The sequence below is a fragment of the Homo sapiens genome, chromosome 3, assembly GCF_000001405.40.
Source record: "Homo sapiens chromosome 3, GRCh38.p14 Primary Assembly".
NCBI classification, from domain to species: Eukaryota; Metazoa; Chordata; class Mammalia; order Primates; family Hominidae; genus Homo; species Homo sapiens.
This window is the reverse complement of record NC_000003.12, coordinates 186121727-186146665: the sequence shown is the minus strand read 5'-3', so window position 1 is coordinate 186146665 and position 24939 is coordinate 186121727. Positions and strand designations below refer to the sequence as shown.

Genomic DNA, 24939 nt, shown 5'->3' with positions numbered 1-24939 from the left:
CCTGTCCCAGCTAGTCTGTGCCTTCCGTGCAACACTACCACAATTGGGATCCATAAAAATAGAATCATGGGGATGGGAAGGATCTAGATGCTCAGATCCCCTATATGTCAGGCCTACACCTCAACACTCCCAGGCAGGTGCATGTCTAATGCTAATATTAAAAGAGCGGGAGTTGGGGGAAGGAGGAAGAGTCTACCAACCTTCCAAGGAAGGAAACTTCACAGTCTTCCTTGGCCGCCAGCTCCGGGCTCTAACAGTAATCAATCAGGAAATTATTTCAAATGTCCAGTCTGAGTCCCCACAGCATATCTGAAACCATAATTTCCTAAAATGTGTCTCCCAAAACACTAGCATCCATCAAATGTTCCGTGAAAAAAGAGTTCTGTGGTCAAGTGCTAAATCTCTTCTGGGAAGTACATAGAGAGTCTCTGAGAACTCCTAGTAAAGAACCATAGAGTCCTTTATTTGTCAACATCTATAGATTAGAAAACACTGCCTTAAGACCACCATTTATTTTGTTGTTCTCAGTGGAGGTGGAAACACACAAGTGACCATCCTCCACAATAATATCTCAAAAAGTGCTTTTTCTAAGACAAGAAGTCTCCATTCTTTTTTTTTTTTTTTTTTTTTTTTTTTTTTTTGGCCAGGGGCTGGGGACAGAGTTTTGCTGTTGTTGTCCAGGCTGGAGTGCAATGGCACAGTCTCGGTTAACTGCAAGCTCTGCCTCCTAGGTTCAAGCGATTCTCCTGCCTCTCCTGAGTAGCTTGGATTACAGGCATGCGCCACTGTGCCCAGCTAATTTTTGTATTTTTAGTAGAGACGGGGTTTCACCACCTTGGCCAGGCTGGTCTCGAATTCCTGACCTCAGGTGACCCACCTGCCTCAGCTTCCCAAAGTGCTGGGATTACAGGCATGAGCCACCACGCCCGGCCAAGTCTCCATTCTTAAGACCCTTTTTCTTGTTTCTTTATGAGATTGTTTGCCTATTTTTATTGTTCCCCTCTACACATCTTCAAGCAAGAATCAATGATCTAGGCCCTTTGTTTCCTGAGTTGGGAAGGGACTGGAAAGGGGATTAAAGAGAAGAAAAAATGAAAGGGTAGGCATGATAGCAGGTAGAGATCAGACTTCATCTGTGTAACTCCAGAGACCAGAATCAGGTCTGAAAAACACAGTTGTAGACAGGTTAACTTCTATTCAATTTAATAACTACTCCTGGAGCTGCTCTAATATGGAAAGGGCTGCCATGTATGGGAATGAACATGCACCTGCTCTTATAGGAAAAAGCTTTGACCTGGTTGGATGGGAAACAAACAGTAACTAATCTACCTTGCCCCAAAAGCTATTTAAACTGTTTTCATAGGCATTAACGTTAAATCAGTAAATCTATTAATTCCCTTTGAACAGCATTTCTTGGTGTGTCCCTTATTTTCTGAAAGAATGAAAAATGACTCCAAGAGCAATTTCTGGATTGGGAGTACTGACCATTTAGACCAGTCTTGGACATGGCAGGATTGACCTGACTCACTGGCACCCTCAAGGGTCGCTGATGGTGGTTGTGATTGCTCCTTGGTAGCCCTGAGAACTTAAAAAATGGATTGTAGTATTAAAGTCAAACAGATTTTGCCTTTCTACCGAGATCCATATTAACAGTTTGGAACTTCTAATCATAAATATCAGACCTGTATCAGACTTGCAATAGCAAGGAAAAAGAAACTATCCTACATCTCAAATTCCAACAAGTTTTAAATATAACAGGAGAGCAGAATTGTACAAACTTTCATATGGAGCCATTGATTTTAGCTCAACTTGATGTTCTACCATATTAGAGTGCATGTTTCAACTTTCTGCTATAAAGAGAGAACAGGAAAGGGAGATAAGAAAGGAAACTCCCAGCTGGGCACGGTGGCTCACGCTTGTAATCCCAGCACTTTGGGAGGCCGAGGCAGGCAGGTCACGAGGTCAGGAGTTCGAGACCAGCCTGACCAACATGGTGAAACCCCGTCTCTACTAAAAATACAAAAATTAGCTGGGCTTGGTGGTGCATGCCTGTAATCTCAGCTACTCAGGAGGCTGAGGCAGGAGAATCGCCTGGACTCGGGAGTGAGAGATTGCAGTGAGCCGAGATCATGCCACTGCACTCCAACCTGGGTGTCAGAGCGAGACTCTGTCTCAAAAAAAAAAAAAAGAAAGGAAATTCCCATTCATTGCTTACTAGTGCCAGGCACAGTGTCAAGGTCTTTTCATGTGCTTTCCCTTTTGATCTTCAGAACAGCCTAAGATATTGGCATTGTACTTTTTACAGATATAGAAATTCATACATAGAAAGGTGAAGTACTTTGTCCAACAGACAGCAAGTGATAGAACTAGGACTTGACACGGGTCTGTCTCATATGAAAATCTATGCTCAGCCAGGCGCGGTGGTTCACGCCTTCAATCCCAGCACTTTGGGAGGTCGAGGTGGGTGGATCACCTCAGTTCAGGAGTTCAAGACCAGCCTGGCCAACATGGTGAAACCCCGTCTCTACCAAAAATACAAAATTTGCCAGGTGTGGTGGTGCACGCCTGTAATCCCAGCTACTTGGGAGGCTGAGGCAGGAAAATCACTTGAACCTGGGAGGCAGAGGTTTGCAGTGAGCCAAGATCATGCCACTACACTCCAGCCTGGGTGACAGAATGAAACTCTCATCTCAAAAAAAAAAAAGAAAAGAGAAAGAAAATCTATGCTTTTTCCACTACATTTTAGTGCCTTTAACATTCTATTCTAATAGTTTCCAACCATACTAGTATGCTACTTGAAATAATATGGCATTGACAAATTGATATCCCATCTGTTCAACCTCTGTATAGCCATCTAATCATGTTCCTACTGAAGAACTTCCAGTGCTTGTTCATATTTAAACTCAACAGCCTCCACGGACAGCTGGATCCCAAAACCCTGGCAATCGAATCAGTAGCCATCCCTTCCTTAATCCTCAATGTCTTCATGTTCTAGCTGAATGCAACTCATTTCCCAGGACCTACACCTAATAGGTTTTTTTGTTCAGCTCTGTGAGTGGGAGAGCAGCAAACAGCCTTCTCAGATTTAAATGCCATGGTCAACAGTGACTGGCCAGCAAAGGGAAGGAGCACTGGGGTTGCTGAAGGGAGCCTCCAGCAAGGAGGCTCTGTATGCAATCCTCATTAGTGATAGGCGTGGGCTGGGCCATCTGTGTTCCACAGGAGAACAGAATGGCAAGCTGCCTTTCAGATGCCAAGAGATGCTATCTAATGGGAAGATCCAGAGAGCTCAAAAAGCAGAGAAGCATCTTTCCTCATAGGCATCTCTGTGGGAAACCAGGGACACAGAAAACCAAGGGGTTTTGGAAATTAGCTACTTAACTTGCTAGGTGTTCTACCCTTGCTGCCACTTCATTCTTCATGTCCAAGGTGCAGGACGACAAGCAGAGCCTTGCAACCTCATCTGCGAACTAAACTCCCCTAGATAGAGCTGTGGTGAACCTTTGTAAGTCTGAAATCTGTGCATGGAATAGCAGGTACATTATAGCAAGACATCAGAGTTTACGATTAAGCCTCCAAGTCTCCCAGGGGTCAGGAAACCCTGCAGGTAGAAGAGACGGTTTAATTGGATGCTCAATGCTGATTCCAGAGAAATCATCAGAAAACCTGGAGGACTACTCTAAATGGGTCAGATTAAGAAAATGCAATTTGGAACAAAGAGGGTAACATCTAACCCAGTATCAAGCATGCAGTAGGTAATGAGTAAACATTTGTCAAGTGAATAAATGAATGAATAGCTAAAGTGGGTATCTGTACTTCTACTCTGGAATGGGTGGGGGGCAGGGGGATGAAAGCTTTTTAACTAACAACTCAGGAACTTGAAACCACAGGATGTAGAGGGAGCTCATGGGGGCCTTTAACTACCCAGACATCTGTTGAGTGATGGATACAGCTAAATATGGATCATCAAAGGGCTTTCTAGGTCACATGGAGGGCAGCTACATGATTCAGAAAATATGAAATTCAACTTGGACAGAAAGACAGAAATATTTGCAATTCACTTCTTAGAGATAAGGTCAGAATTGACAAAGAATAAAAGGGCAGCACAGAAGTAGAGTTACAACACAGTAAGAGATCAGCATAATAAGATACAGATTCACAAGATGAAAAGAGATAGAGAACTGGATTTTTTGGCAGATTGATTTGGGCAAGGGAGGTGGGCATGAACACTACAGTCCAAAAATAGAAGGAAGAACTGAGAAATCCTCAAAAAATATTTTTTAAGCCTAAAGTCGAGTAAATGATAAAATAGAAATCCCCAGGTATTAATGACGTTGTTATTAAATAAAAGCTATCATTTATTATCTAGTCCAAAGCTTACTATTTTTATGACCACTTTTGAACTTCACAAAAACCTGTATGGTTCTCTCTTTGACAAGTGAGGAAAACTGAGAAACAGAGCAAATCTCACAGTGACAGATCCAGGATTCAGATCTGTCAGTATCTGCCTTCAAAGTCCAAGTTTCTGCCTGCAGGGCCATTAACAATTCCTCTGAGCCTCAGGAATGGACAGGGATTTACTACCCCGAAACTAATCCCCTATGTGGGACTTACTCCCTTCTCAAACTGGAAACCCAAGTCCCTCTCCTCCCTTTTCAACAGAGCTGGAGTGGAAATAGCATTCACATGTCTAGAAGTGGGGGCACACTGAGGTGGGGCAGCAGCCCTGAGCAGCAGGAGGTCCATGTCAACCTCCTCCTACCTTCCCAGGTCCTTGTTCCCAGGCACCAGCTGGGATATATCCTAAGGCACTACTTGAGCAGGATGGACAACGGTGGATACCTAGTGAAGAACTCAGCCAGATCACAGTATTCACATAGTATTAAAGATCATACTAAAAGATATGCAGAGACCATAGTAAAGATCAGGGGCAAAAGAAATAAGGTCAGGTAGTCAAATATCAGAATTTAGTAACATCTCTAAAGGTGGAGTGGAGATTTGGAGTGGCCTTTTAAAAACATTTCGGGTGAATCATAATTTGGGATAAAAATTACTGCCTAGAGTAATGCAAAAAAATTGAGCATTTTAAGACTCAAAAAGCAAAATTCTTTTAAAAATGAAATCTTAAGAGGAATTACAAGGTGAGGAATAATAAAAATAATAGGCCGGGCGCGGTGGCTCATGCCTGTAATCCCAGCACTTTGGGAGGCCGAGATGGGCGGATCATGAGGTCAGGAGATCGAGACCATCCTGGCTAACATGGTGAAACCCCATTTCCACTAAAAATACAAAAAATTAGCCGGGTGTGGTGGTGGGCGCCTGTAGTCCCAGCTACTTGGGAGGCTGAGGCCAGAGAATGGCGTGAATCCAGGAGGCAGAGCTTGCAGTGAGCCAAGATTGTGCCACTGCACTCCAGCCTGGGCAACACGGCAAGACTCTGTCTCAAAATAATAATAATAATAATAATAATAATAATAATAATGTATTTGTACCCTAGAATATAGAAAATGAAATGAATTTTAAAACCCCACAATATACCTGGCAATCCGGAAGAAGATTCCAGAAAGTTTGCATTTTCTGTTGAGGGACTAAACAACAGTACTTTCAAAGTAATTAATGAACTTCTTTTGTCTTTTTTATTTTTTTAAGAAAACTGGTACCAATTGGTTACCAGAAAATGGCATGATCTTCAAGAAAAAAAAGTTTTCCTGGTGAACATTTCCTCTCTCCCCAACATCCTTGAGGTAAAGGGATTGAGAACTAGATCTTTTAACTCAGAGAACCATACTTGCATGGAAGGTGTTAATAACAGAGGGTGTCACGGAATCGCTGTTTGGGGTTTGCTATTGTTGTACTCTGCTACTACCAGACATTAAGGTAATGATAATAGACCTAGGAGAACTAAGCAATTCCTGCCTCCCGTCTGCTCCCTGTCAGCCTCCTGAAGCCCCCACAGGTTAAATATGCCTCCTGAAATTAGAACATCTGGGAATAAATTCTTTTTAGGATGAAAATGCTCAAACATACAAAAAAGTGCAGCCATGAGTATAGTGAGCAACCGTGTACCCATCACTTCGATTTAACAGTTGTTAACATTTTGCCCTGTTTCATCTTTTTCTGACTGAATTTTTTTTCTTTTTTTTTTTTTTTTTTTGAGATGGAGTGTTGCTCTGTCGCCCAGGCTGGAGTGCAGTAGAGCGATCTGGGAATCACTGCAAGCTCCGCCTCCCAGGTTTACGCCATTCTCCTGCCTCAGCCTCCCGAGTAGCTGGGACTACAGGCACCCACCACCACGCCCAGCTAATTTTTTGTATTTTTAGTAGAGACGGGGTTTCACCGTGTAAGCCAGGATGATCTCGATCTCCTGACCTCGTGATCTGCCCGCCTCAGCCTCCCAAAGTGCTGGGATTACAGGCATGAGCCACTGTGCCTGGCCTGAATTTTTAATAAGTAAGTTATAGGTATCATGACATCTCACACCAAAATACTTGAGCATACATCATCACGGAGGATTCTCTCTGAAGTGTTGAAGGTTGTGTGTATCGTCCGCATTGCTGAAGGAAGGCTTCAAGGTGTTGTGCATATGAGCTCTGTCATTTCTCAACTGACTGAGTCCAGTTGTTTCCAAGCAGAAATTCATCAGGACATTACCATCACTCATGAGGAGAAAGTGTTGGGTGGAACCAAAGACGGTCTTAGCTGTATTTGAAACATTTCTGATTCTTCTGGAAACAGGAAAGCAAACAGCCCATGAACTAAATTCTCAAAAGACACTAAATCGGAAAGTGTTATAAGCACTAATGATGCCAGACAGAAAAATGCAAAACAGTTGGAGGAGTCAGAAATTCACCTGAAAGTCCGGGAGCGGTGGCTCACGCCTGTAATCCCAGCACTTTGGGAGGCCAAGGCAGGCAGATCACTTGAGGTCAGGAGTTCGAGACCAACCTGGCCCAATATGGTGAAACCCCATCTCTACTGAAAAAACACAAAAAAATTAGCCGGGCGTGGTGGTGCGTGCCTGTAATCCCAGCTACTCAGGAGGCTGAGGCCGGAGAATCCCTTGAACCCGGGAGGCGGAGGTTGCAGTGAGCCGAGATCGTGCCACTGCACTCCAGCCTGAGAGTAAAACTCCGTCTCAAAAAAAAAAAAGAAAGAAAGAAGAAGAAATTCACCTGAAAAATGCAAGTTCTTAATTCTGAAATAAAAAGCTGTTTAAAGCATTAGTAGTTACAGAGTGGTTGGGCACAATATTATTTTGAACAGGTAAAACAATAGAACACCATGTCTGCAGATTTATTTATTCAGCTAAAAAACAGTTTTAGTTATTGTGCCATCACGTGAAGAATAGGAAGCTAGACTCAGGGAGTGGATAGGCTGCTGTGATGTACAGATACTCCCCTCCACTAGGGCAGGACTGATCTGGAAGTGTGTCAACCCCCGAGAGAACATCTGGGAAGCCTGGTTGAAAAGCTTTGGCTCATTTATGCAGGGTAAGAGAGAATTTTTCAATAGGCAAAATGTATGGAAAGCAGGTATCATTCCACTTGCTCTGTGCGTAGCTGCTGGGATCAGGATGGGCTGACTGCACATGTTCCGGACAAGATGGTGGGCAAGGTGGGTGGTGCAAAGGTCTACCAGCTCAGTGATTCCGCCAAACCAAAGAAAAGCAGGCAAAAATGAGTGATAGCAGGTGCCAGAATATTCAGCCTGTCTCAGTCAATGAACGAAACGTGTTTCCCATTTTAAGCACAGCCTAAGGGAGAAGTAACAACTAGAAACCAAGGCCTGATAGATTCCCAGCCTGTGCACGGTGGAGCTACACGGGCACCTACCTGACTTCCTACACATCGAGAGGAAAGCTTTCTTATCCATACCCCAAGTGCGCATCTGCCCGCCTTTGAATCATTAAACACCACCCCTCCCTTCGCCACCCCTTTCCTCACACCATGGAGTTCATAACACCAAGCATCACCTTCTCTTCTCCTGACACTGACACCAGAAGAAAAGGAAGTCTATGTTGACGGCACAGAGATGAAAATTGCCTCCATCATTCTGAGTGTAGGAACATGTTTTCTTCCCAGATCGCCCCCTCTTTGGAAGAACACAATCTCTTCTAAGCTCCCTCCTCCAGCCTAACCCCTGGCCCTGAAGCCCAGGATCTGCTGATCAAACACATGAGCTCACTGCAGCTTATATAAGAGCTCTTGGCAGGCCTTCCCAGAGATGGATGCTGGGCTAGGTCTCTGCACACTTGTGCTTGCCTCGCCTAGGCAACATGACTTTTTGTTTCTCTATCTCCTCAGAACAGAGAGGCCTATTTGTACTACTGTTCATCAGTCGTTTTGTAGTAGGAAAGAGGAAGCACAAAGTTTCTTCCTATTTCCCAGTGATTAAAAGTGGCCCAACTTCCTAAGGGGGAAAATAAGAATTCCAAAGACAAAGCTCACTTGAATGTGCTGAGCCCCCTTCACTCGGCTGTTTTCTGTGATGGGGCCACACCGCTGTGGGTTACCACAGGGGAGCAAGGATAGAAACAGAGTGGGAGCTGGGGGCCACGCCTGTGTGACATTTCGGAGGACTCCAGCTCGAAGGTCCTTTCTGAGATGTTTGTGAGCAGGGACTAGGGCAGAGGGAAAGACAAAATATTAGGTTGGAGCAAAAGTAATTGCTGTTTTGCTTATACTCTTAATGGCAAAAACTGTAATTACCTTTGCACCAACCTAATCGATGAGAATTCCCATCTTCCCCCAAAGGGGAAATAAAAGGACATTTAGGGAAATCTGTCAGATAGTCTCAAAGGTAGGTCATCTGCAAGAAATCCATCCTGCCTCCGACTGACTTGGTGAGAAGTCCCATCCATTCCCAGACTCCATTTTCTTAAAGGAGAAGAGAAACTTTTGGAAACCACACTCAGGAACTCAGAGAAACGAGGAAAGAGAAAAAGCAAGGAAAAGCCATTCATGAACCCAACTTTCAAATTCAGTGGATATTTTGCATGGCTCCCAAGAGGAGAAGGGACGGTTGTATGACAGGATTTGTTTCTCCTACTGCCACTGACGAAAGGAAAGGAAACGCATGAGGCCCTTTGCCGTGCCCGGCTCCCTTCTGCCGCGTCAGTCACTCCAGGCCTGGGGCTCTGAGGCAGGGCCAGGGAAGGAAGACGCAGGCCTTAGCTGTGGCCATTCTCATTCTCTTTCCTGAGCTTCGAAGCCACATCCTGAGGGCACTTCCTACCCACACATCCTCGTCCAGGGAAATGTGCTCATCTCCCTCCACTCAGCACTGGACTTCTCTCGCAAGGCCAATTCTGGTGCTCCCTTCATACCAACTGGCAATAGGGATGTGGGCAAGTCATATTACGGCTCACTTTCCCTACATGTAAAATGGGGCTGGATAGGGTGATTCACACACTTACTAATGGATTCATCAGTGAATATTTTGTTTTTAAAGAATGTCTGTCTGGGCTGGGCATGGTGGCTCATGCCTGTAATCTTAGCACTTTGGGAGGCCGAGGCGAGAGGATCACCTGAGGTCAAGTGTTCAAGACCAGCCTGGCCAATGTGGTGAAACCCTATCTCTACTAAAAATGCAAAAATTAGGTGGGTGTGGTGACGCGCGCCTGTAGCCTGTAATCTCAGCTACTGGGGAGGCTGAGGCAAGGAGAATGGCGTGAACCTGGGAGGTGGAGCTTGCAGTGAGCCGAGATTGCACCGCTGCACTCCAGCCTGGGCAACAAAGCGAGACTCCGTCTCAAGAAAAAAAAAAAAAAAAAAAAAAAAAGAATGTCTATCTGGGCTGGGCACAGTGGCTCACACCTGTAATCCTAGCACTTTGGGAGGCCGAGGCGGGAGGATTACCTGAGGTCAGGAGTTCAAGACCAGCCTGGCCAACATAGTGAAACACCATCTCTACTAAAAATAAAAAAATTAGCTGGGCGTAGTGACTCACACCTGTAATCCCAGCTACTCAGGAGGCTGAGGCAGGAGAATCGTCTGAGCCCAAGAGGCAGAGGTTGCAGTGAGCTGAGATCTCGCCACTACACTCAAGCCTGGGCAACAGAAAGAGACTCTGTCTCAAAAAAAAAAAAAAAAAAAAAGAATGTCAATCTGTCAGGCACTGCACCCTAATCTCTTAATATGTCGCAATGCAGTTCTATTACTTTTTCTCCATCTTTTCCCATCACATTCTGCTTTTCTCAACCTCTACCCACACCCAGAGTCTGCTTCTTCAGCTTTTTTCTTTTATTTTCATATTTTTCTTCACTCTCTGCACCCTCCCCCACCCCAGCATGGTTCTATTTTTAGAATGTTCATACATAAAATCAGAGGATTAGAAAAGGGTTTTAAGGGGCCATCTGCCCACTTTGTTACCTCCAGGCAAACCTGTGCTTAAAAGGCCCAGGAAAGATCAGAGGGCATACTCCAAGCCCAATTTCAGGATGCACTCCAGCATCTCACAACTTCTTCCATTAAAAAATGGCCTCAACGTCTAACTTAAACCCCTCTGTTCAATACTACTCTCCTTTTTCTCTTTACCTCTTGAGTCACATCACAGACATAAAGCACCTTTGTGAGAGAGAACTGTGGGGAAGTTTAACCCATAGTGACATAGTGGAACATCCCAGGCCATAACAACCACAGTTTCAATGTAAAACCAGATCCAGGAACACAGAATGGACTAGAGGCTATGGCAGTTAGCTGGATTGGGCTTCTGTAAAATTAACAAAGACAGAACAAATAGCAAAAAACCAACAAGCACGACCCTACTGGACTCACAGTTTCTAACAAACTATCTCAATTAACATGAACAGTCCACGAGCAAGGAGTTCTAAAATCATAGCCCCCTTAGGTTGGAAAGGCCCTTCCTTAGATGTTATCAAGTCCAACCTTTTATGCAGAGTTGGCAGCCAGCATAGCACAAAGTCTGTCTCTGCTGATTACAGCTGAATAACAGATGGCGGTCATTCAGTACTGGTTCTTCCATCAGCATATAAAAAATTCCTTCAAAGCAACTCTCCCAGGACCCTGGATAGGAGGCAAGGCAGGTGTTCACCTGGACAGGGCCTGATGCCCTTTTTGGTCTGTGCTAACCTGCTGAGGTAGTCTACGGTCTTAATAGAGACAGTGTGGTCTAGTGTGTGGGTCGCTTGACAAGGAGGCAGATTTCAAAACGTGCCACATTTTCTTTCTGCCTTCTTCAGATGGCAAGAGGCAGACAACTCAACTAAAGAGAAGAGGATTTACAGCAAGTTGCTGACCCAGCTTACAGCACAGCTGTCCTCTTCCATAGAATGGGAAGAAGTTTTATGCCTTTATGCTTCTCTGTACCATCAACCTCAAAGTTCGGTGGGTATCTCAGAGAAAGTGTTATTATTAGCAAACAGTCATAATTCCAAGAAACCACTTGCTAAGGGGTTCCTGATGGATGATTTTCTCTCTCTGTAGAAAACAAGTAAGAACCTTCTATCTTGGGGAAGTCTGGCAAATGCTCCATAGAGGCTGCTGTGGAAGGGAATCATTCCACATCCCATGTTAGGATAAGGCCCGAAACCCTGCCTGGGAAAACAAGAGCAGCACACGGAGTGGGCTTCAGTCCTGTCTCATTTACAGGGTCTTGAACACGCCCTATAGGCTTCTGGGACCTGTTTTTCTGTATCTGTCAAACAAGGGGGTGCTCTAACGACCTTCCTGCTGTAGCGATCTTGCTTCACTTTGGGTAAATGCCACAGCCATAGGAGAGGAGGTAGGGTCTTTGTCCTCATGGGTCTCCCACCAGGCCCAAGGTTTCTCCAAGCCCTGCTGACCCAGGAGGGCCACTCCTAGCCCCTCTGCCAAGAATCTACTTTCCTTCCCTCATTGACTGATCATGCTCAGAAATCAGCTAATTTGGGGGTGGGGGGCATCCAACATGAAAGAAACACTACAAAGAAACTCTTAGGTAAGCTCTCTACCTCTACACACACCCATACACATACACTGACACAGACACATACAGGAACCCTGAAATATAAGTATTTTCCCTTCCATGTATCAAACCTCTTTTGCCCTCTTGAATTGCCAGTGTGCTGGGAGAGAATTCAGTCCCACAGTGGAGAAGCACTGCTTCCACTTACGGAACTCAGCTAAACCTCAGTGTTTAGGGATGACCCTGGGCACAGGTTGAAGCTAAAGGTCCTAACACACCTCCATTGCAGTGCAGAAATGCAGACTTTACCAGCCATGATTGGGGCAGTAGCTAACTAAAAGCACAGGACCAGGATCCAGATCCTTCCTTTCTTGCTCTTCCACTTCCACTGCCTCCCCCACCCTAGATGTGTTATTCTGTAACAGTGGTCGCCTGCTCGAGACTGCTCATCTGCCTGCATAGAGTGCCGTGGACTTGCTCTGTAATGCACTGTATATGTGTATGTCCTGACTCTGTGGTTTACTGCAAATAAAAATGACAGCAGGTGGCTGACCTCTGACCTCCTGGTCATTTCATGCCATTGCTTGTGAAATCAGGATTGGCCATTCATGCTCTGGGGATGTACGTGCTCCTCCAGACACTTCTGTGACCATTCCACAGGTGCACGCTGCTAGAGAGGCACCACTGATGTGTCAGGTTTAGGAGGGGTTGAAATTCTCTGTTGCCAATTTCCTGGTGTTGAAGGAGGGGGAGAGAGAGCCAAAAGCCCTATTTAATAAGCTCCAGAGAGTTGAACAATGAGAACACGTGGACACAGGGAGGGGAATATCACACATTGGGGCCTGTTGAGTGGTGGGGGGCAAGGAGAGGGAGAGCATTAGGAAAAATACCCCTGCCTGTGGGGCTTAAAACCTAGATGACGGGTTGATAGGTGCAGCTAACCATCATGACACATGTATACCTATGTAACAAACCCGCACATTCTGCACATGTATCCCAGAACTTAAAGTAAAATAAAATTTTTTAAAAGCCCCAGCTAAACACTTTATATACATCTTCACACCGACGTCTCCCCTGAGACGTGGTCAGCATTTTATAGATAATGAAACAGGAGGCTCAAAAATGGTGATTAACTTGCTCAACACATAACACAATAAGTAACCCAGTTCTGTCTCTCTCAGACCCCAAAATTCATGTTCTTTCCTCTAATGTTTCTCTAAGTGTGGGACTGCTTGCATCAGAAACACCTGGGCTCCAGATTTCCAGGGCCCACCCAGCTCTCCCTCATCATGATGTCTGAGAATGGGCCTCTGACATCTGGTATTTTAAAAGCTGGGGCTGTCTCATGCCCACAGAAGTTTGAGAACCATTGCATCACTCCATGCAGGGACAGCAGGACTACTTTGGAAGGACAGAGACAAGTCAGCATTTTAAAATGACTCGGTAAGAAGTCCCTTCCATTCCCAGACTCCATTTTCCCAGACTTCTATAAGCTCAGAAACCAGAGCTTATAGAAGAGAACCCCTAGACATAAGAGACTGGTGAGGAAGCAGGTCTGGAATAAAAGAATGAGTGGGGGCTGGGCAAGGTGGCTCGCGCCTATAATCCCAGCATTTTGGGAGGCCGAGGCGGGTGGATCGCCTGAGGTCAGGAGCTTGACACCAGCCTGGCAAACGTGATGAAACTCTATCTCTACTAAAAACACAAAAAATAGCCAGGCATGGTGGTGGGTGCCTGTAATCCCAGCTACTCAGGAGGCTGAGGCAAGAGAATCACTTGAACCCTGGAGGCGGAGGTTGCAGTGAGCCGAGATCGTGCCACTGCACTCCAGCCTGGGCAACAGAGCAAGACTCTGTCTCAAAAAAAAAAAGAATGAGTGGGGAGTAAGGCTGTGGGCTGGGCTTCAATCAGAGTTGGCTGGTCCCTCTCTCCAGAATGTAGATCCAAGAGCAAATCCACCTGCTGGTCTCCAGGCTGAAGCTGTCCTGAGCCCAGGGTTCAAGGGCACACCAAGGTGGAGCTAAGGCAACAGGATGTGGGTTCAACACAGCAGCCTCAGAGACTGGGTCTGCAATAGGGCAGCAGTCTCACAGGATGACTATGGACGCTGCAGCTCCTACAGATTGCTGCTGCCTCTTCAGCACCCCACCACCCTGCCCAGCCTGGCCCAACTGGCCAGTCCCCCAGATCTGAAGAACCATTACTGTTGTCTCTCTAGGCTCTTCCTGCCACAGTGGACCAACAAGGCTCCCAAAGCATTGGAACTCACGCCCTGATCCACAGTTTTCTCCATGTCTCTGCTGTCATCCTCGGGACTGGGCGAGGACTCTGACCTCAGGGAATCTGACCAAAATGTTACTCATTCCTACCCATTCCCTCCTCCTTCCACCTGGATCTGCTGAGTTCTATTTTGTGCCTTCGAGTCTAGGTGGAGGTTTCTGAAATAATGGTTGGGATGTCTGAGGTGGAGCACTGTGAGACAGATGCATAATTGCTACTTGGGGGCAGAACAAAATCCTGGAAATAGCTCAGCTGCCCACTCAACTGCAGAGATTCAGCTAGCCTCTTACTCTCCCAGCTGCAACACTAACTATGCGTGAAAAATATTTTCCTCAAGAAAATGGCTTTTCTGAAGTCGAGAAATCATGAAAACACCTCCTGTACAGAATTTGATATAACCAAATCAGCAAAGCACTTACATTATGAGTCTGGAAAGCAGTTTATGATCTAGAATTCTTATAGTGAGAATTTTCTTGAATCTCTGTAGCTAACAAAAGAATTGTATAAACAAGGAAAATGCTGGTCCATTCAAGAACAAAGGTCTTTAGCAGTTGTGTTTGCATTTTAAACAATAGCTAAGAATAAGAGATGCCTATTCGTTTGCTGTAGTATTTACAAGACTCCCTAACACACACCACCATGTTTCTGCTTCTACCCCCACTTAACAGGTTACTGTGTGTCCATCAAAGTAACAACACTGCCTTTGTTCTTAAATGTTCCTCCTTCCTACTTTCCGTTACACTGGACTATCAATGATTACAGAAATATTTCTGAATCTAAAACCTTAAAGCATTCTCAGAAGGAGCAGACAGTCAACAAAGGCATCAAAAACGGTGAAGGAAGCAGATCAGCAAGAAAGATCAGAGAGAGCAGAAGCAGACAATCGTGGTCTCAGAATTGGCGGGATTACAGAGAACACTTGGTTCAACCTCTCAGCCAGAGCAGGACTTCTCTTCACAGCACCCTGTCCCCAGAAACAGCCCCCTTTGCTTGAAGACTTCCACTTATGGACAGTTCACCACTTTCCCAGGAAGTCCATCTGGGAACAACTGTCTGAGTTTTAGATAGGCTCCAATGGCATCCAAATCTGCCTCCTATTAACTCCCATCATTGGGCCCTGGCTTGGCCACTAGCAACACAGAATGAATCTTTCCTCTCTTCTGCAGGACAACTTGCAGATATTTGGAAAGAGCTACCTCATTCTAGCTAAGTCTTTATTTTTTTTTTCCTCCAGACTAAACATCCTCCAAATCCTTAAATCATCCCTTATATGTCATAACTCTCAAACCCTAAGCTATTCTTGCGATTTTCTCTGGAACAACAACAGTTTGCCAAAGTTCCTTTTAAAAGGCAATTCCCGGAACTGAACACAGCATAATGCCCCAGAAATGGATGGTCAAGTGGAGAGTCGCATCCCTTGCTGTCGATACCACATTAGCTTTCTTTGGCAACCATATCACTCTGCTATTTCATCCTGCTCTCATAGCCAACAACATCTCCAAGCCTCGTAGGAATGATAATAACCACCACTGGTATGACGTCTCAGAGATGACAAAACCATTTCAGAAACATGCTCCTATTTGCCGCTCGCAACAACCCGGTGAAGTTGACTGAAGAGGAGGAAACTATGGTTTTCCAAGGCCTCATGGCCAGCCCTCAAGCCCTGAGCCTGTGATTCCAAATCCATGCTCCTCCAAACACACCCAGGCTGCCTTTTCACCTGAACCATGGTCATTTATGTATTTATTGAGACTTTTGCTCTTGTTGCCCAGGCTGGAGTGCAATGACATGCTCTCAGCTCACTGAAACGTCCACCTCGCGGGTTCAAGCGATTCTCCTGCTTCAGCCTCCCTAGTAGCTTGTATTACAGGCACAGGCCTCCACGCCCGGCTAATTTTTTGTATTTTTAGTAGAGATGGGGTTTCTCCGTGTTGGCCAGGCTGGTCTCGAACTCCTGACTCCAGGTTATCCACCCACCTCAGCCTCCCAAAGTGCTGGGATTACAGGCGTGAGCCACCACGCCCAGCCCTGAACCATTATTAAGGCCCACGAAAATCTCCCTGGCTTCATTTGTTCATGTCTATTCAAAATCAGAGTCTTTTTTCTGTTCCATTTTGTCATGTTAACTTCTGCCTATCCTTTAACTTGCCTATGTCTTTTTTTTTTTTTTTTGAGATGGAGTCTTGCTCTGTCGCCAGGCTGGAGTGCAGTGGTGCGATTTTGGCTCACTGCAACCTCCAACTCCCTGGTTCAAGCTATTCTCTTGCCTTAGCCTCCCAAGTAGCTGGGACTACAGGCACATGCCACCATGCCCAGCTAATTTTTGTTTTTTTAGTAGAGACGGGTTTCACCATGGCCAGGATGGTCTTGATCTCCTGACCTCATGATTCGCCTGCCTCGGCCTCCCAAAGTGCTGGATTACAGTCGTGAGCCACTGTGCCCGGCGCCTATCTCTTTTTGACACCTGTTTCTGTTGTCTGTTGTATTAAAGAAAAGACACCGGGTCAGAGAGAGAGAAGGCAGCAGAAGAGGATGGGGCACAAAACAGGAGGAGACTTTGGGCGAGAGGAGCAGAAAAGGGAGCATCTTAGAAAAGAATGGGCAGGGCGGAATGACGGCTGCATGTGGAAGTGGGGGATGGAAAGACTGGGTTCCAGTCGCTGAGAACCTTGGTTGGCTCTGTTACCCTAGGCAAGCCCCTTAGCCTCTGTGAGCTTCACTTTCTGAGAAGGAGGGTCAGAAGTGGGACTAGTCAATTCCCAAGACCCTTCCCAGTTCTATGAATCTAATGGGCAGATAAGGCCTTATCATTAACCCAATGTGCCTTGTCTTTTTCAATCCAATGAAGATACTGAAAATCAGACTCTCCTGAAATATTTAACATGACTTCCTTTTGCTAAAATAAAGAAAAGCAAAGATACCTAGGGGCCATGGCAACAAGCAACATTTATTTCATCTGTCAGCCATGGGTTTTTCGGGGGGCATGGGGAGATGGGTTACGACAGCTACTTCTCAAGATATAGGACCCAAAGGAATCCTCGAGGGGGCTGAACAAGCTCTGCAGCCATGTCACCTGATACCTTCTCCACAGTACCAGAGGACTGAGGGTTCCACAATAAACAACAGCCTCTTAAACCATGTGTGGAGGGAAAGAAGCTCCTACTTGCTAAGCATCTCTTGTGTGCCTTCCTGGGGAGGTCACAGGATAAATGTTCTTTGGTTGTTGCATTAAGATAGGAAATGTCTGCATGCTTTTATTCTTCCACAGCAGCGCTGTCCCTTAGAAATACAATGTGAGCCACATATGTAAGTTTAAATTTGTTTTTTTGTTGTGTTTTTTTTTTTGTTTTTTTTTTGTTTTTTTTTTTTTTTTGAGATGGTGTCTCGCTCTGTTGCTCAGGCTGGAGGGCAGTGGTGTGATCTCGGCTCATTGCAACCTCCACCTCCCATGTTCAAGCGATTCTCCTGCCTCAGCCTCCTCAGTATCTGGGACTACAGGCATGCGCTACCACGCCTGGCTAATTTGTTTGTATTTTTAGTAGAGACAGAGTTTTTCCATGTTGGTCAGGCTGGTCTCAAACTCCAGACCTCAAATGATCCACCCGCCTTAGCCTCCCAAAGTGCTGAGATTATAGGCATGAGCCACCGTGCCTGGCCTAAGTTTAAATTTTCTAATAACCACATACAAGGAATAAAAAGGAACAGGTGAAATTAATTTGAATGAAGTAGTTTTAAACTCAACATATCCCATAAATAATCATTTCAACATGTAATCAATATAAGACATTATTAATGAAGAGCTTAACATTATTTTTTTGCACTAAGTCTTCAAAATCCTGCAGGCATTTTACACTGATAGCACTGGGCTGTGGTTAGTAGCATTTTATTGGACAGAGAGCACCTGAGGCTTCCCATCATAGCACTTCTCAAACTACATTGTACTTGCCTATTTCATTGTCTGAATTATTCATCCGGCTGGAAGCCTTGGATGGGCAAGGACTGTGAAGTTACCTGGTATGTTCCCAGACCCCAGCAGAGTGCTTGACACGGATATAATAGGCCTCAATTAACACTTCACAAGGGAGCAAGGAAGGAAAGAATGCAAGGTCACGCACCTAACCAGCACGGAGGAGAACTTGGGTTTAAACCTATTCCTATGCAACGATAAAACCCACCATCAGCCGGGCACAGTGGCTCACACCTGTAATCCCAGCACTTTGGGAGGACAAGGCGGGTGGACTGCCTGAGGGCGAGAGTTTGAGACCAGCCTGACCAACAGGGAGAAACCCTGTGTCTACTAAAAATACAAAATTAGCTGGGTGTGGTGGCCCATGCCTGTTAATTATAGCTATTCAGGAGGCTGAGGCACGAGAATTGCTTGAACCTGGGAGGCGGAGATTGCAGTGAGCTGAGATGGTGCCATTGCACTCCAGCCTGGGCAACAAGAGCAAAACTCCGTCTCAAAAAAAAAAAAAAAAAAGAAAAAAGAAGAAAACCACCATCATTTAGCCAAACCATGCTGCCTCATAAACTTCAGGAAGCATTATGAAAAAAACATGGTCTTTGGTGCCAAAAAGACTTGGGTTCAAATTTCAGTTAGACAATCAGTGATGAGGAACTCACGGAAAAGCTTGAGTGGTTTTGTGCTAGTGACTTTACCTCTCTCAGCCCTAATTTCCCCATTTGTCAAATGGGGACGATACCAGAAAACCTTTACCTCACAGGTAACCACGAAAATGACCTGAGACAACATGACTAGTATCTTGCAATCTTTAGACTTTCTGTGTTTCCAGTCCCTGTCTAGTAAAATGGAAATAAATCATTCTTATCTGGCCAACACTTAATCATGAGGCAGCTTTGACCCTATCCAGTAAGGGGAGAGTAACAAAAAGCAAACCAAAATTTGGGGAAGAAAGCCAACCCCTGACATCTGCCTCCTTATTCGTTTGTTGCTGTTGTTGTTTTCTTTTTTGAGACGGAGTCTCGCTGTTATCGCCCAGGCTGGGGTGCAGTGGCATGATCTTGGCTCACTGCAACCTCCGCCTCCCGGGTTCAAGCAATTCCCCTGCCTCCGCCTTCCGAGTAGCTGGGATTACAGGTATGCGCCACCACGCCCAGCTAATTTTTGTATTTTTAGTAGAGACGGGGTTTTACCACATAGGCCAGACTGGTCTCAAACTCCTGAACTCGGGTGATCCATCCCGCCTTGGCCTCCCAAAGTGCTGGGATTACAGGCGTGAGCCACCGTGCCTGGCCCCTTGTTCGTTGTTTAAACAGCTCCACACAGCCCAGATCTAGCCAGGGCAGCCATGCATTGTGAGAGAGCTGGAGATCCCCTGCCCGGCCGCACTGCCCTTTCTTCTAACATTTGCCTCAGGGATTCTCACATTTAGACCTCCTCTGCCCCAAGTCCAGTAGAACCCACCTTTGCTATTCCGCGAGCTCAGGAGGCTGGAAACTCTAAGAACTGTTCTGGGTGCGGCAGCCCAGGTAGAGAAGGAGCCCAGTAAACGCTCAGAGATTCACCCACAGGGCCCTTCCCAGAGTGGAGGCCCCAGCGCTAGGGAGCTTCGGCCTGCGGAGAAGAACACAGTGATTCTAACCCAAAATCCTCACATGAGCTTAGGAAGAGGAACAGCTGCAAAACTGTCATTGTCTTGATTAGAGAGTATGGGTCAACATTAAAAATGCCTTCCTAGCTCACCTCCCACCACTCACCTCCCCTTACATACCCTCTGGAGTTGTCTCATCTCCATGCCTTCTCTGGCTCAGCCCTCAGCCTGCCCCATCACTACCACACACACATTCACCACCACCACTCACCACACACACACACCCCACACCACACACACACACACACCCCCCACACCACACAAACACCACCATCACCACTACACACACACACCCCGCACCACACAAACACCATCACCACTATACACACATTCACCACCACCACTCACCACGCACACACACCCCACACCACACAAACACCCCCCACACCACACAAACACCACCATCACCACTACACACACACACCCCACACCACACAAACACCCCCCACACCACACAAACACCACCATCACCACTACACACATTCACCACCACCCCACCACTCACCACACACACACACCCCACACCACACACACACCACACAAACATACCACCATCACCACTACACACACATATTCACCACCACCACTCACCACACACACACCCCCCACACCACACATACCATCACCACTACACACACACATTCACCACCACTCCACACACACACACACCACACCACACAAACATACCATCACCACTACACACACATTCACCACCACCCCACCACTCACCACACACACACACCCCACACCACACACACACCACACAAACATACCACCATCACCACTACACACACATATTCACCACCACCACTCACCACACACACACACACCCCCACACCACACATACCATCACCACTACACACACACATTCACCACCACTCCACACACACACACACCACACCACACAAACATACCATCACCACTACACACACATTTACCACCACCTCACCACACACACACACACACACACCACACAACCATCACCACTCACCCCACACCACACATACCGTCACCACTACACACACACATTCACCACCACTCACCACACACACACACACACACCACACAACCACCATCACCACTCACCCCACACCACACATACCGTCACCACTACACACACACATTCACCACCACTCACCACACACACACACCACACACACCAAACATACACCACCACCACTCACCCCCCACACACACCCCCCACACCACACATACCATCACCACTACACACACATTCACCACCACTCACCACACACACACACCCCCCACACCACACAAACACCACCATCACCACTACACACACACACCCCACACCACACAAACACCACCATCACCACTACACACATTCACCACCATCACTCACTACATACACACTCTCATACACACACTCTCTCCACCACACACACCCCCCCACACCACACACCACCATCACCACTATACACACACATCCCTATACCTACACACAATTCTCACAGGACATGCACTAAACACCACCTAGTACCATCACTACCATACCCACACACATATTCACCACTGTCACCACAGACACATACACACTCCCATACACAAACACACTCCCCACACCACACACACCACATACACATAACCTACACACACAGAGGCCCATGCACACCATATCCACACCACCCCACACGCCTCACCCTTGCCCACACACCCCGCAACACACAGACAGAATAATGACCTACCTCAAACACTTTGTCTCCTGGGTTCTGAAGCCTTATCTTTGTCACCTTGATTTGATTCATTAATATACAGACATTGCTTCTCTCCCCTACTTGATTAGGAGCCCCTTGAGGACAGAATGTGTTTCTCTCTTTATTTCTGTAACCAGCATAGTGTTTGGTACATTGTTGAGGCTCGACAAATATTCCTGAATCAATAAATGACTCAACTAATCAGCCCATATGTGTCTATAGGGCCTAAATGAGGTGAGTGTGGAGAAGCAATTATGTGGAACCAATTGTGCAGGCGCTGAGCAGGCCCAGCATGGGGCCTGGGGGGCCGTCTTTGGTGGCTGGTCCTGCCTGGTCCTGCTCCACTGCCTCGGTCTCATTCCAAGGGAAATATTTGTTCTGTGAGCAAATAAAATGTGAATATGTTCTAATCTGTTGCAAGGATACACAGAGCTGCCTTCAGCCTGGTGCTTAGATCTCTGAGGGCACTTCAAAGAACTGCAAAAATAAAATGTCCTCTGTGGAGCGGGAAAAATGGAGCTCTTTCCTGCCCAGAGAGAAGGGCAAATGAAGACTGGATGACAAGTTTCCCGCTTGAAGATAACGTAAATCAAATCTGCTCTGGGCCCATCAGGACCCCAGACATGAGAGGTGATTACAGACTTCTCTTCCTATCATGCTATGTACTTAGAAGTGCTGAACCTGCCGTTTGAAAACACACAGACACACACACCAGAAATCTTTACTTCATGCCCATGTTTAACTAATGAAGGAGAAGTCCCAGCTCCCAGCAATGCGTGTGTTGAACCACGTCTTGTCTGCCTCGCTGGCCAGCTGAACTAGCCTTTTGCCCACTCAAGTACCACACACCGTGGACCCTGTGTGCCTACATTTTAACAAACATGCAGAATGGATGGGAGAAGTGAGGAAGAGAAAAACAAAAATTCCCAGTCGCAGAAAATTAGGAGGATATCTTTGTATTTTGTTTGTCTCCTACTAAGGAATTCTTAGAAGTTCAGAACCTTCCATAATAAGCTGTCATCGGATACACTTGTTTCCGCATAGGGCCTCGGGTTTGATTGCAGGGTTTTTAAGCTTCTGGCAGAGGAATGCAATGTTTCAACGTTGCCTTAGCCCAACCCCGTCCCTTTTCACAGGCTGGGGCAAAAAAAAAAAAAAAAAAAAAATAGTGTTGAACTGTCCAGTGTGCAAATTAAATCATTTATTAAAGGCTGAAGAGAGAGGGTTTAAGATCCCCACAGTGGATTCTGAAACTATAACCCAGGATTCCCTCTTTACATCCATGTTCTGTACGTGCAAGTCTCTTGTGTTGCGCTGTCCTGAGGTCAGGCAGGCCTATTTTGAATTCTGGGTTAAGAACAAGCCTCAGCCATCCCTTAGGGCACAGCCTTAGCTGCCATTTACTGATCCTCCCTTGGTGTTTAAATCCTCTCAACAACAAACTGCAGGTGAGAAATATTAGTGTCATTATCAGCCTCATTTTGTTAGTGGGGAATCTGAGGCTCAGAGACATCAAGCAACCTGCCCAATATGGCCCAGCTGGTATTAGAATTCTGCTTTGCCAACTCCAACACTCGTCCTGTCACCCCGGTGAACTCACCAAGGAAGTCAGCCTGCCTGGAACTTCACGAATACTATTCCTACTAGTTTATCATTCAAAGTAACCTCTATTCTCTATTTCATTAGATCGCCCATTTTTAACATGTGTAATTTAATTTAAAAATCACACAATACTAGCCCAGTCCATTCAAAAGGCTTTTTGAAAACCTCTGTTTCCTTTGAAAATGGATTGTTATCTATGGCCATACCACCCTGAACAAACCCGACCTCATGTGAAAATGGATTGTAGTTTAGGTTCCTCCATTTCAAAGTGGAATTGCAAGACCTCCCTAACGTGTTTACAACATTCCTGTGCTGAGTGTTATCCCTTCTCCCAGGAGCCAGATTGACAGTCTCTAGCGCAGCCCTCTCTTTGGCTGACAGCTGTCATTCATAATGGCAAGGGGGCAGTCCTATCCCCATCTAAAATAGGCAACAGAATGTAGCCAGATCGCCTACTGTCATACCTATACTAAAACACACACAAACACACACACACACACACACACACACACACAAAGATATTCACGGTAGTGTTTTTTTTAACCTCAAAAAATTGGAAACAGCCTAATACTCAATCAACATTAGGGAAACAAGCAAATCATATTATAGCTATAAGAAGACATACTAAGCAAACTTTAAAAATTGAGTTTTTGAAGAATGTTTAATAACCTAGAGCCACTCCTATGACATAATACTAGGAAAAAATACAAAGCTTTTTATCTTTTAAAATCTCCATTATGTAAAACAGCAAGAAAAAAAGACAGGGAGGAAATATGCTTAAATGTTAACAGTATTCATTTCTAGAATGATGGATGTTTAGTTTATTTGTAATTATTTTTTATATTTCCCTAACTGTATACAATGGATATAGAATGATTTTACAATTTAAAATGTCTTTGTAACTCCCAATTAGGGTGAATGGAGAAGATTGATTTTAAAACTTAACAAAAACAAATGCTTTTGGAGAAACTGTAACAAATGAGATTATTAAATATCTGAAACCTCTCTGATTGGAATTAGGCCATAAGTTTAATTTTTTTTAAGTATCATGACAGATAGGCATGCCTGCCAGCTGAAAGAACTATTTTACTTCCCACGGCACTCCCTTACAAATAATGTACCAAGTCTTTTTAAAACAACAAATGTAACAGCCTACAGGATTCTGTTACTTGTTTACCCTGGACCTGGGCTCAAAATGGCTTGAATCTATCTCCACCATTCAAGATCAGCCCTGATGAACAAATCCCTGGTGTGCCTAGAAGGAGGGAGGGTGGGGAAGAAGTCAGGGGAGGAGCAAATATGAGCCTCCCCACCCCCCCACTCACACCTGGTGTGGAGCTTTGTCAATTACTCACTGAAGGAATGTAAAACTCTGTTCTTCCTACCGGATCCAAGCTAGCAGAGGCAGAAAGCAGCAGCAGCAGGACATGCTGGGTTGATTCCAAGACACTGAAGAGTGTTGATAGCCCAGACAGCTTCCCTGTTCTTCCTTGTGAACCCAGTCCTGTTCCTCTGAGCTTTGGGGTGTTCTGAGCCGGGACAAGAAGGCATCTGAAGAATGCTTTTTCTGATCCCCCATCTCTTCAGCCAGGTCTGTGCTCTCTTTCTCTCACCTCTCTGCTATGATGCACTTCAACCTACCCTTCACCCTCATCAGGTTTGTCGTTCCCAAATTTCCCCCTTCCATTTGTCACTCCTTTACTCTACAACTTACCATGGCTTGAAGAATCAGACCCAAATTCCTCAGATCCCCAATACACAGCCCCTACCCAACTTCCTCCAAACTCACCTCCCTCACCCCCACCCCATCCCACCTACTCCCACCC

General features: G+C 45.8%; 1 long non-coding RNA gene across 1 annotated transcript; it reads right to left on the bottom strand.

The window, feature by feature from the left end:
• Positions 1–6440: 6440 nt before the first annotated feature.
• LOC105374257 (uncharacterized) lies at positions 6441–24785 on the bottom strand. The gene is made up of 3 exons (XR_001741051.3): positions 21503–24785; positions 19610–19759; positions 6441–6725 (listed from the first exon to the last, which is right to left on the bottom strand). It is a non-coding gene; the product is annotated as an uncharacterized LOC105374257 (long non-coding RNA).
• Between the last annotated feature and the right edge of the window lie 154 nt (positions 24786–24939).